At 36.9% G+C, this 13,934-nt stretch overlaps 1 protein-coding gene across 38 annotated transcripts in view, besides 2 other annotated features; it reads left to right on the top strand.

Annotated features, from left to right (window-relative positions):
* ATOSA (atos homolog A) overlaps nucleotides 1-13,934 on the top strand; it is a 128,495-nt gene that overhangs the window by 35,614 nt on the left and 78,947 nt on the right. The gene's annotated exons all lie outside the window — the stretch shown is intronic.
* Nucleotides 2,109-2,610: an enhancer, noted in NCBI's record as "NANOG hESC enhancer chr15:52963789-52964290 (GRCh37/hg19 assembly coordinates)". NCBI's record gives its function as "activates a minimal SCP1, AML or CMV promoter by ChIP-STARR-seq in naive H9 embryonic stem cells {active_cell/tissue: H9 hESC(naive)}" and the evidence as "EXISTENCE:reporter gene assay evidence [ECO:0000049][PMID:30033119]".
* Nucleotides 6,222-6,301: an enhancer, noted in NCBI's record as "active region_9434". NCBI's record gives its function as "activates an Ori minimal core promoter by ATAC-STARR-seq in GM12878 lymphoblastoid cells {active_cell/tissue: GM12878}" and the evidence as "EXISTENCE:reporter gene assay evidence [ECO:0000049][PMID:35858748]".

The following is a 13,934-nucleotide window of genomic DNA, read 5'->3' as shown; positions in this document are numbered from 1 at the left end:
TAGAGGTAATTAAAAACATATTAGGTTATGTTCTAAATGTATTTCTAATTTTGTATTTTTAATATCTGAGCTTAATCAAAACTGCTATGAAAGATTAAGACCTATAAAATAAATCATAAATTAGTAATTTAAATCTACTGTTTTAATTCATATTTAAAAACATTGTAGGCTGTTGATCTTTAAGTTAAAACTAGTAGTGCAAAATCTGTTCCACAAACAAAACACCACACTATTTTGTGGTTTTTGTTTTTGAGGTTAAAATAGAGAAGTGCTTAGTTTTTTCCTCCATTTGGCTATATTACAAATTTAGACATTAGCCTTAGAATTTCAGTGGCTTATGAACTTAACTATAGCATAATGCAACCCTGTTAACCTCAAACAATTCACTCCTGGGCAGGTGAAATAGGAAAGAAGTGTTAAGGACTAGAAAAATGTAGCAAAGCAATTAGGTGCATTGCTTGCTAAGAATAGTTCATTGTTAGTTGATGTAAATCAAACAAAAGAAATGGCAGATGTTGGAGAAGAAATACTGACTAGATTAAATAAAGCGGCCTTTTGCTAAATTCCCAGGTAGAGGTGGTCATGATAGTATGAGTAGCAACAGCTAATACTTGTTCATACTATGTGCCAGGCACTGTCTTAAGTACTTCACATATATAACTCATTTAATCCTCACAGATACTCAAGGAAATAGATGCTATTGTCATCTCTGTTTTATGGATAAACGAAACTGAGTCATAGAGAAGTTTGGTAACTTACCCAAGGTTACACAGCTAATAAAAGGGCAAGCTCAAATGTGAAGTGAACTTGAGCATATGCTCTTAAGCTCCCTGACTGGTAGCAGTAAGTAATGTTAAAATACCATAAGATTTTGGGACCAAAGTGGTTTAAAAATACTTGAGGAAAACTCCAAACAGGTATTTGGTAAGTATTGTGATCTTGGAAAGCTGCTTGTCCTCTCTGCCTCAGCTTTATCTTTACAATAGGGAAAGTAATAGTACCTCAGCTCATGGTTATTTTGAGGATTAAATAAGTTAATGTGTGTAATATGCTTAAAACAGTGGCTGGCACTTAGCATTCAAATGTAAACTGCTATTATTTTTGGACATTTTCTAAAGAAGAAACCAGTCAGTTAGTGAAAGCTGAGGAAGACAAAAGGGGGCTAATTCAGCTGCATGTTTTGTATATTCAGTGTGATCACAAGTTAAAAGCTGGCTACTGTTGTTCTTTCATCCATTTATGTTGATGAGTCTTGGCATCAGTAGCTGTCAAATAATCAATGGCTTGATACAACTTCTGAGATTCAGATACTAAAGGGGTTGACGTAGAGATACCCCATCTATGTTTTTGCCTGTCATCCAGTAAGAAGGAAATGATTCAGTGGACTAAACCCTGTCATTTCTTTGAAGAATGAGAAAAAAAAGATAATTGGAAGGCAGAACTGAAAGGCAAATGTGTATATAAGGAGAGTGACTTAAAAATTGATTTTCTCTTCAAGAACTGAAGAAACCCATGGGGTCTGAGCCTTCTGCATTGTGAACAAATATAGAAAAAAATTAGTTGTTAAAGAATATTTATATTCTTTTGCCTTTCTCGCCTTTGGATCTAATTATGAAAATGTTTTCACCCTTTTTGAGGCTGGGGATTTTAAAAACTGGAAATATTAAACTCAGACTAACAATACTGGTTTTTTTTTTTTTGGATAATGAAAAGGCAAAATTGTAGTACTTGGAAACAGTACTTCTTAGTAGGTAAACCAAAGTCAATTTGTTAATAGTTAATTCTATCTTTGCTCAAATAGGTGAAAAATCAGAAGAGTTCCTCATGTTAGACTTTTTCTTTTTCTTTTTCATGGGATGGGGTCTTACTGTGTCACTCAGACTGGAGTACAGTGATGCAATCATAATTCACTGTAGCCTCCAACTCCTGGGATCAAGAGATCATCCTGCTTAAGCTTCCAGAGTAGCTGGGACTACAGGTGCACGCCACTATGCCTGGCTAATTGTCTTTTTTTTTTTTTTTTTTTTTTGAGAAATGGGGTCTCACTATGTTGCCCAGACTGTTCTCATTCTCCTGGGCTCAAGCAGCCCTCCTGGCTCAGCCTCTCAAAGTGCTGGGATTACAGGTGTGAGGAATTGCACCTGGCCCAGACTCTTATTAAAGTAAAACAGGATGGAATAGGTAAAAAATGCCAGCAGATAATCAAAATATTAGCCTAAGAGCCCATGTGTAATACCACAATTCCTAGCAATAATTTGAGTTGAGCTTTCTCATATTTTCCTTTCCATGTAAAAGATACTCATCTCTTCCCCTTGTTTACCATATCCAGCCCCACTAGCTGCCTTTTAGGTTTTTGATTACCACTTAGGATCTGGTATGCGAAATTCCTTCTGCCTAAAAAGCCTTTCTCCCCAGTCATCACATTGGTGTCTCCTTGTTGTTCTTTTGTTATAGAACTTAACCGTCATTTTTTCAGAGAGGTTTTCTCTCACTACCCTATCCAAAGTGCTCAGTGAATGTTAATTGCTGTCATTTATTAAATGAGATGTCCCTTGTTATTCTTTGTCTGAGCAGCCTGTATTTCCTTCATAGCATTGACCACATTTTGTAATTTCTTTTGTTTATTGTCTGTCTCTACAGCTAGATTTTAAGTTTTGTGAGTCCGGAAACCTTGTCTCTTATTCACACCTGTATTCCCATCATTTAGTAGGCAGTCTTGTACATGGTAGGTGCATAGGTGTTTAATACATATTTGTTAAATGAAAGAATGACTTGTATGTCTCAGTATTTGTGGAGCAGATAGGAATAGGAGCAGCTGGGTAGCAATATTTGATTGTTTTACTGATACCAGCTGAACTTCTGCCAATTTAGGGATTGGTTTGAATTAATGACTGTTAGGCTGTTATCACAATTTTATACTTAATTTTTTGAAAATACAGTTAAGGATACTATCCATAACTTAAATAAAGGTTATATTTCTTAATTAATCATATCTTATTGAATTAAAACACTATAAAATATCTTAAAAGTAGGCAAAAGCCATTTAGTGACAATGGTTTCCAGTTTATATACGTCTAACAAATGATTCATACACAGACATTTGCTAGAAGCTCTCTGATGTCCACCCCCTGTGCTGAATTTGCTCCTATTGCTGTTTCTGAGAGAGAGGGAGAATGTCTGTATGTTCAAATTGGTAAACCTCAGGTTTATGAATATAAGAAAGTACAAGTCGGATAGACTAATGGAAAAAAAACTCAAAGGATTTAGAGTTTAGATTTGGGACCCATTCTTGGATTAAGTCCCAAACCTGTTTACTTATCTGTAAGATGTAGCTGGCTAAGGGTGTTGCTTCTGAGCTTCAACTAAGATAATATGTCAAAGAACATAGTAAGCCATGAGATGCTATATAAATGTGGACTAATTTACTCTGTGGGCAGGATTATTTGTATAGATGTGCAAAGGGCCAGGTCTTCCCAAATACAGCCAGCTGCATCTTAGTTGGTGCTATTCACACAGTATGAGGATTTTATTACTTTTAGTTTCCTCTTGCTATCCTGACAGAAATTATACCAACTAGAGATTCACTTGGATTAATAAATGTATACTTAGTTATACATTTTTCGAGGACTGTTGAAATGATGGTCATATTTTAGTTTAAATGGTTTCCTTTTAGCAGCGTACTATAATGCAAGAAAAGTTAAGACACTAAGCTTTTAGGATCAAATTTGGATTGAAATTCTAACTTCGGAACTTACCAGCCAAATTACCTTGAAAAAATTACATAGCCTTTCTGAACAACGGTTTTGTTTTTTGCTCTAATACCGTCAACCTTAAGCCTTGTGGGAAAGGTAAACTGAGAACATATGGTTTGGCACTTAACATACGCCTAGCACTGGGTAGGGATTGCTAAATGGTTTCCTCTGCTAACAAGAATACACAGCTTGGAACAGCTGCACTGAGGAAATGAGTGTTTCAGAACTCCGTTTTGAAAACTGGTTGGAACAAGCATGAAAGATCAATGGACACTTATGTCACTGTCAACCTTGTCTTCTGAAATATACAATAACATAGAAAAAAGTCAAAACCAGCATTGAACTACCCAATCTTTAATGCAAATGCAATGGAGAGGGAAAGTAGGCAAATTGGAACACAGCCCACTATTTCTGGGTGATAGTAGACCCTAATGAACAGTTTAGAGCAGCATCAGGGCAGAGAGTGAGGCAGAGGTGGGAACTAGAAAGAGGCTGATGGAAAATAGAGTGGTGAGATGTTGCCCAAAACTGCTTTTTTCTTTGTTTCAGAGTATTACCTAGGATTGATTCAGTGCTTGGAGCATGGCCCTTCTGCTTCCATGACCCAGAATTTAGATTTGTTCCATGATGCTGCAAGATGGCCATTATAGGTTAAGAAACCTTTGGTAGACTCTTCTGGGAATCTAATCATAACTCATATTGCTTGTCAGTAATATTTAAGCCTAAATAATGGTCAGACTTAAACATATCCCCTTTGGGAACATGACCAATCTGTATTTGGGAATAAACAATATTTAAAGTTTTCATATTTTGGTTTCCCACTTAACCAAATGTATATTCCTGAATGGAATTAATTTAGCGTCAGTATCTGAAATTAGGCTATTTGTAAAACTTTATCCTAACATCTAGAAAGTGCATTTACATTTTTCATCAAATTAGCAATTTTCTTTTGTGAAGAGAGATCATGGTTTGTGAGAGAGATCATTGGCCATTTCTACTTAAATTTATAACAGTAAGAGAATGTATAATTTTAGCCCTTGATATTGGCAAACTTCTTTTTGTTTATTTTGGTCTTAAAATAACTTTAAAGGTCTATATCATATTTGGTGTGTTTGACAGAAGGATGCTGATATACAAAAAATTATTCATTTTATGAAAGAACTAACCATAGGATTTCTCTAAGTTACCCTACTTTGCTTGCTCTACAATTATTATAATTAAAAATTTCAGGCCAGGCGCGGTGGCTCACGCCTGTAATCCCAGCACTTTGGAAGGCTGAGGTGGGCGGATCACAAGATCAGGAGATCGAGACCATCCTGGCTAACAATGGTGAAACCCCATCTCTACTAAAAAAATACAAAAAAATTAGCTGGGTGTGGTGGCAGGCGCCTGTAATCTCAGCTACTCTAGGACTGAGGCAGGACAGTGAGGCAGGAGAATGGCGTGAACCGGGGAGGCGGAGCTTGCAGTGAGCCGAGATTGCACCACTGCACTCAAGCCTGGGTGACAGAGTGAGTCTCCGTCTCAAAAAAAAAAAAAAAATTTCAAACCCACAGAAAAGTTGAAATACTACAATTAACATCCATTTACCTTTTCATAGATTAATTGTGACCATTTTACAACTTTTGTTTTATCTCCATATAAGTAGGTGGGATGGGTGGGTGGGCTAGATAGACATGGAGTTTTGTTGTCTGTTTTTTTCTATTTTTAATGCAAAGCCTTTTTGTTTATTTCAAACTGGTACTTTTTTCAGTTGACACATTGCAATTGTATATATTTATGAAGTCCAGTATGATGTTCCAATACATATATATGTTGTGTAAATAATTAAATCAGGGTATTTAGCATATCTTTCACCTCATGCACTTATGATTTCCTTGTGGGTGGGAACATTCAAAAGCCTCTTCTAGCTATTTTATAATATATAATACTTTAGGGTTATCCTTAGTCATCCTACTATGCAGTAGAACACCAGAATTTATTCCTCCTATCTAACTGTAATTTTGTATCTGTTGATCAACCTCTTCCTATTCTCTCCTTCCCCTTACCCAGTTTCTGGAAACCACTGTTCTACTCGCTACTTCTATGATAACAGCTTTTTTTTAAGATTCCACATAAGTGAGATCATGCAGTATGTGTCTTTCTGTGTCTGGCTGATTTTACTGAACACGATGTCCTCCAGGTTCATTTATGTTGTTGCAAATGACAGTATTTTATTCCTTTTGTGGCTCTATAGTATTCCATTATGTGTGTGCGCACGTGTGTGTACCACATTTTCTTTATGGACACAGATTGATTCCATATCTTGGCTATTGTGAATAATACTGCAATAAATATGGGAGTACAGATATCTCTTCAACATGCTGATTTCATTTCCTTTGGGTATATATGCCCAGTAGCGGAACTGCTGGATGATATGGTAGTTCTGTCTCTGATATTTTGAGGAATGTCTATACTGTTTTCCGTAATGGCTGTAATAACTTACAGTCTCAACCATGTGTAACTGTTCCCTTTTCTCCACATCCTTGCCAACACTTGTTTTCTTTTGTCTTTCTTTTGTCTCCAGCCATTCTAACCGGAGTAAGGTTTTATCTCATTGTGGTTTTGATTTGCATTTCTCTGGTTATTAGTAATGTTGAACATGTTTTCATATACCTGTTGGCCACTTGTGTAAGTTGCAGATGTCTTGACACTTCAGCCCCAGATACAACATGTATCCAGCAGTATGCTACAGCTGGCAGGTACTGGCTTGCAAAAGCCGATTGTGTATATTTCATTTCAACTCTTCACCTAGTTGGTTACTTGAAATCAGCCATGGTAATGGTATTTATACCATGGAAATTGGCAGTGCTACAAACCAAGGCCTTTTTTCCTCTCTGAGCCAGCCGTTAAACATTTACGGCCATACCACTGCATGTGTCTTCTAAAAATAAAAGTATTCTTCTGTATACCTGCAATACAGTTACTGCATTCAATCTAATACTTACATAGTACTAATATCTAATATACAGTTTATACTCATATTTTCCTAGTTGTTCCAATAACATCTTTAGTCACATTGCCTTTTAAAGTTGTACATTGCTTCCTTTTACAGAAATGGAGTTAGACCCTGATGTTAGACAACATTTACAAAAGTTTTGGAGTATGCCATAAGAATATGATAAAAAATTAGATCATGTAAATAGAACAGCTAATTAATATTTTAGTAGATTTTTCCTCTAGCTTTTAAGTATTTAGGCAAAATGGATTAAAGAGAAAAGTGAATATTGTTGAAATCCCAGATTTTATTCCATTGATAACACATTAAACAATTATATTTTTAAACCTAAAGTCTCAGGCTGACTGACCTCATTTCCTGGTGATTTCCAAGGTTCCCTGCAGTCTAGCCATATTAGTCCTGTTATTCTTCAGTCACTACAAGCACATTTGACACTTTGGGGCCTTTATATTTGATATCTTCGCTCAGAATATAAGTCTCCTGGCTCTTTTTTTTTTTTAACTTGGCTTTCTGCCATCAAAGAAGCCTTCTCGGACCATCCTTCAAAGAGTACAGCTAATTCATTCTCCCTTTACTCTGCGTTACTCTCTTCATAGTCCTTACATTGTTTAATCTGGTATTCTGTGTTTATTTCTTTTCCCCTCTCCCCAACAGGAATATAAGCTTCATGAGGGCAGGGAAGGGATTTAGTGGCATTTGTTCACTGCTGCATTTCCCCATACACAGACAGGTACCTGGCATTTAGTGGCTCTTCAATAAATGTTTAGTGTTGAATGAACACTTGGCATGCATTTTAATATCTTTGTGGTGTAGCATAAAACTTATTACTTGACAACGTTATGCATTCTCTTTTCTGAGATTTGTTAGTTTAGTAACCCTAAGATCTAATTCTCCAGTGTCAAGTTTTTTGCTTCTAAATGGAAATGTTTATGCCCACTTCACAAGGTTATTGGGGGATCAAATGAGATGTTATACATGAACTCCCTATATACAAGATAGAGTGCTATGTAAATATAAGTAGTTGTTCATTCTCTAAGCATTTATGTTTACTTATCAGGTATTGTGCGAGGTTCTGGAAACATACAGATGAATAAGTCAGCAGGGTACTGTGTGTGAGTCTGGGGGGCAACTAGAAAAATTCTTGACTCCTTTGGAAATGTCTCTTGCTAATGTAGTGTTTGTAGTTTGAGGAATCATGGCCTCAGATATATTGGTTCCCTAAACTAAGACATTAACATCCTTCAAAGTCTTATGAAATAGTAGGGAATTTTTCTTCTATCCTCTTAAAAATTACACTAGTAATATGAGTCTGTCAAAGAAGTACAAAATTTAGATAAGCTAAAAGAAAAGGAGAAAATACCCAATAGTAATGCTCCTATTCTGTGATTAGACAGTTCATGTTTTGGGTGCCAGGGCGGGGTGTGTGTTTTTCCTTCTAGTCTGTAAATGTACGTACATATTAATAGTATATTTTTTAATTAAACCATATATACTGTTTAGGAAACTTTTTTTACCTAATGTAATTTGTATATTTTCATGTCATTAAATATTCTTCCCTTATGGTATATTTAATGGTCGTATAGCTAACTTTTGCATGCCTGTGTCATTTGGCCAATTTATACTTCTTAATGTTTTAATTTTTAACTGTGGTAAAATGTGGATAACATAAAATTTATCTTCCTAACCATTTTCATGTGTACAAGCTTTTTGTTGGATACTTAAGCTTCAAGTTTTGGCTAGTATAAACAGCACTGTAATGAACATTCCTTTAACTTAAATCCTGGTGTATTTCCTTATCTTTTCCAGACGAAGTTCTAAAAGTAGAATTACTTGATCAAAGTATATACAAACATTTTTTGATTATTGTAAAAATCACATTTTTTGATTATGGTAAAAAAAAAAGTGCCAATTTTTGGTCACCAACAGTATATGAGAAGAAAAATTGTATTTCCCCTACTTGACACTCTTGTTAGCTTTAATGTATGAGCAAAACTCACACAAATGATTCCAAATTTGATTTCGCTTTCTTATAGATATTCTTGAAAGAAAATGACTAATTACTATCTGATTTGTATCTTGTTTTCCTTCACGTACAAATAGTAGACATCTTTTCATTCTCCAACATTATATGCCCAAGCTAAATTCTAACTAAAATCTTCAGTCTCCCCTCACCCCCGTAATTTCAACTTTTATTTTAGATTCAGGGGGTACACATGCAGATTCATTACATCAGCGTATTTTGTGATGCTTGGGTTTTGGGATACAGATGATCCCATCACCCAGGTGGTGAGCATAGTACCCATAGGTATTTTTTCAGTCTGTACCTGCCTCCCTCCATTCCCCTCGTAGTCCCCAGTGTCTATTGTTCCCACTTCTATGTCCATGTATACTCAGTGTTTACTCCCATTTACAAGTGAGAACGTGCAATATTTGGTTTTCTGAACAATAGTTTTTTTCTTTTGGACAATTTCTAGCTGGTATTCCTTCCCCTGCACCCCCCCACCCCCAACACCCAGAGATAGGGTTTCCTCTGTTGCCCAAGCTGGAGTGCAGTGGCATGATCATAGGTCACTACACCCTTGAACTCCTGGGCTCAAGTAATCCCTCCACCTCAGCCTCCCAAGCAACTAAAACTATAGGCGCACACCACCCTGCCCAGGTAACTTTTAAATTTTTTGTAGAGACTGGTCTTGCTATGTTGCCGAGGTCTGGAACTCCTGTCCTTGAGCAGTCCTCCTGCCTCAGCTTCCCCAAGTGCTGAGATTACAGGCGTAAGCCACCATGCGCACACTCTAGATGGTATTCTTGATTTGACTTTCAGGAATTGTTGTGTGGCAATTAGGGCAGTGGAAAGAACATGGGTTTGGAGCTGGACAACTCATTGTTCAGACATCAACATTATTACTAGCTGGGTGAGTTTAGTAAAGTTAAACTCTCCATGTCTTAATTGCCCGGAAATCTGTAAAAATGGGAATAGCAATTCTTTTCTCAAGGTTTCTGCGAGGATTGAAAGAAATAGTACATGTTAGCATACAGCTCAATGCCTGGGCACAAAGTGGGCACCAGCTTTCTACGAAAACAAGTTGTCACGCTGAGGATACAGGGCCAGTATTCCCTAAATCTCCTTTTTCCAACTAGGATTCTAGAACTGTAACTATAATAAAGTTTACTAACAGTAGTACTTAGATCTAGAAAATCTATGGGGTATAATGTCTAAAGTCTTTAGTGCTGTGTAAAGAGCAAATGAGAATTTGCTGTCATGACAGTTGTGCTCAACTGCAGATGCTGTCAGTCCATGGTTTCCTACTTTAGTAAGGACTGAGCACAAGGCAGAGTGGCCTTCTGTGAAGTTAAACTCTGGCATCGATTTCCTTTGTTGATTCAACAGTGTTTCAGCTTACTCTAATTTTGGATAAAAAGAAACTTATGCCTGCTCTGGATGGATAGAATTCAAATTTGCTCTGCAATGAATTTGAATTTTTGTGGCATTCATTTTATGTAGATACGTATATCTATTTCAACTACAATATTTCCCAACTTTTTTGATATCTCACTAAGGAAAGTTTTGATTACCGAGGTGGGAAGATTGCTTGAGCCCAGGAGTTCAAGATGAGCCTGGGTGACATAGGGAGACCCCATCTCTACAAAAAAACTTAAAAAAAAAATTAGCTGGGCTTGTTGAGGCATGCCTATAGTCCCAGCTCTTGGGATGCTGAGATGGGAGGATCACTTGAGCTGAGGATTTAAGGCTGTAGTGAGCTATGATAAAGCCATTGCACTCTAGCCTGGGCAACAGAGTGTAACCTTGTCTCAGAAAAAACAGTTTTGATTAAATAGTTAAATTAATGTAATATGTGTCATCTTAACAATATGTACAACTCTTAGTTTATCTTGCAACAATTAGGTAATCTGAAAAAAGTGATGGTTTTGTGCACATGATCATTGGGCTAAATTTTTTTCTTTTCATTCAGTAGTATTTATTGATGAACTATTCTGTGGTATGACCTCTGAGATATGTATTGTATTCTCTGCCTTATAGAAAATATAATCCAAGAAAGAAGATAAGTATAATGCAGGACATTTGAGAACTGAATGAATGGTAAAAGTAATGTTTACTATCAAAGGTCATAGGGAATGATTAATTCCACTGGAGAAGTTAATTTAGGTCTGGGACTGTCTTAGCAGAGACAGCAGCTGAGTTGATCCTTCAAAAACTGTTATGATTTGGATAGATAAAAATTTAGAGATTGGGGCAGGGAAGGGAATGGAAGGAAGGACATTCTGATCAGAGGGAATGAGTTAAGGTGTGAAGATAGGATTCCATTGTTTAACGGTCGGCAGATAGACTAATGTGAATGGGAAGGGTTGCTTTGGAATAGGGAGAGATTAGAGTTTTAAATGTTAAGCTAAAAGGAGTTTGAGCCTCATTCATTTGCTAGTATCAGACAGTCTTAAAATCAGTTTTTAGCTCTCAAAATTACATTATCGCCCGCTGTTATAAAAATTACCCAACATGCATCTACTGTTAGCTAATTCTTTTTCTTCTCCATTTATTTTTCCCTTTGCCACCATTCTTTGTTTATAATATATGAAGGATTTGTGTTTTATTTTACAAAAATTCTTGGGAATATTAACATGGTACACAATACTAATAATACTATGTCTTTTTTTTTTTTTTTTTTGAGACGGAGTCTTGCTCTGTCGCTCAGGCTGGAGTGCAGTGGCTCGATCTCAGCTCACTGCAAGCTCCGCCTCCCGGGTTCACGCCATTCTCCTGCCTCAGCCTCCCGAGCAGCTGGGACTACAGGCACCCGCCACCGTGCCCTGCTAATTTTTTGTATTTTTAGTAGAGACGGGGTTTCACTGTGTTAGCCAGGATGGTCTCGATCTCCTGACCTTGTGATCCGCCCTCCTTGGCCTCCCAAAGTGCTGGGATTACAGGCTTGAGCCACCGTGCCCGGCCCTATGTCTGTTGTTTTATAATACTCTTTTTGTCAGAGTAGTAAGCTGCACTATTTATTTTGAAATAGCTGTGTGTTAAAACAAATGGAAGAAAAATACAGAGTAAAACTGGAGATTCCATTTTTCATTCCAGATAATTGCTGGCAGAAGTTTGAATTCTATGGGATTAGAGGCTTTCATACCCTTCAGTTTCATGTAAGGTCTGAGAATGCAGGGAGTCCCCATGATACTAATAAGCTTTCCTAGCTGTGTTAAGAGTAGAGATGTATCTTCTTCTCTCTCCAACCAGATAAACACTTTCACACTAAAGCTTTAAAAAAAAATGGTGGTCATAAGAGTGAGGTTTGTTCAGTATATTGTGGTAGAGCACTAAGAAGCAATCTCAGTTTCCTAGTCTTGGTTTGCCACTATCTGTGTGAATAATCACCAACCTCTTTGACTACCAGTTGCCTCATCTGTTAAGAGATTAGATTCGATAATTTTGGAGGTTCCTTCTGGGTCTAAGATTTGATCATTCATTACTCCTTTTTTTTGCTGTTTTTTTTTTTTTTTTTTTTTGGCCTGGCTTGTAAGATTTCTGCTGGCATAACTCCTTTCTTAAATATTGTTTATCTAAGCATGTGTGTCCTTCTTAAGTTGGCATACTAACTATTCAGAAATTGAAGTAAAGAACATACCTATGCCTTTGAATAATTATTGTGTTGATTGAATGCTGGTTCTGCAGGCACACTTCTGTGGTCCAGGAGGTCGTAGCCTAACCATGGCCTGTACCTTTTGTTGTAGCTTATGGTGCAGAATTGAGGTATTTACCAGGGTACTCTAAGTTGCTAACAACAACAAAACAACAACATTCAGGTTACACAGTGGTACATATTAAATCCACTTTAAAAAGCTGAGGGCGTGAAAATAATTTTGTTATTCTGAAATTACAAAATCACTCTGTCACTAGAAACCACAGTTGGAAAGATCTTTAGAGTGTGTGAGTTTCTTTCATTTTTACAGTTGAGAAAATGTAAGACCCAGAGAAAAGCAACCTGTCCAACTAAAAAAGTAAAACTCAAATTCCCTGCTAGTTGCTGGAATATTTTCTGTATTTTGTATTACTTCATGCCTCTAGCAGAGCACAATTGCCTCTAGGTTCTGGCACCAGAAATGAAATAATGATCATCTGGCTTTTATCAGGAAACTGGAAAGAAACAGGCTAGGTGATTATATTTTGACATTGTTCTCAAAGTAATACATAGATACTCTTAGAAGTAAGTCGAATGGTAATAAGTAGACTCAAAGTAAATAAGACATTTCATCCTTGAAACTAGGAAGCTGAGAAAGAGATGGATATAAAGAAATAAGAAATTAGAGATAATTGTCAAATTAAATCAGGAAATGGTATAAACTAATTATTTAGAAATATAGAGGACAATTTTTTTCTTTAGTTTCAATGTGTAAAAAATGAGGCTAGTGATAATACCTACTTAAAGGGCTACTGTAATGAGGAAATGAGATAATCCATATAAGGTGCTTAGAAAATAGTATTTAGGCCAGGCACAGTGGCTCACGCCTGTAATCCCGGTACTTTGGGAGACCAAGGCGGGTGGATCACCTGAGGTTGGGAGTTTGAGACCAGCCTTACCAACAAGAAGAAACCCCATCTCTACTAAAAATATAAAAAAATTAGCTGGGATTGGTGGCCCATGCTTGTAATCCCAGCTCCTCAGGAGGCTGAGGCAGGAGAATTGCTTGAACCCGGGAGGCGGATGTTGCAGTGAGCCAACATCGAGCCATTGCACTCCAGCCTAGGCAAAAAAAGCGAAACTCTGTCTCAAAAAAGAAAAGAAAATAGTATTTGATTCTGAATAAATACTCAATAAATTTGCCTGTTGTTATTGTTAATAAATTAGCATTTCTTCAGTGCGTAAGATAAACACATTCCAAGTGCGCTGAAGGAAATATACGAAGGCTAAGAGAGTGACTAAGTGAGAGCAAGGAGAAGTCCTCTTTGGTTAGGTAAGGCCCCTGAGAAAATGAGCAGAGGATGAGAAGGCACCAGCTGTGTAAGGGGAAAGAACATCCCAGGCCAAAGGTATATGTGCAAAGGTTCTGAATTTAGAAAGAGTCTGGCATGCTTTAGGAACTGAAAGAAGGCCAGGTACTATATGATAGTTTGTGCTTCCCTCATTTCTTCATATTATACTGTCTCCTTCACTAGAATAATTGTTCTTCAA

Source organism: Homo sapiens, chromosome 15 (genome assembly GCF_000001405.40).
Source record: "Homo sapiens chromosome 15, GRCh38.p14 Primary Assembly".
Taxonomy (NCBI): Eukaryota; Metazoa; Chordata; class Mammalia; order Primates; family Hominidae; genus Homo; species Homo sapiens.
Note: the sequence above shows the minus strand (reverse complement) of the source record. Positions and strands in the feature narration are given on the sequence as shown.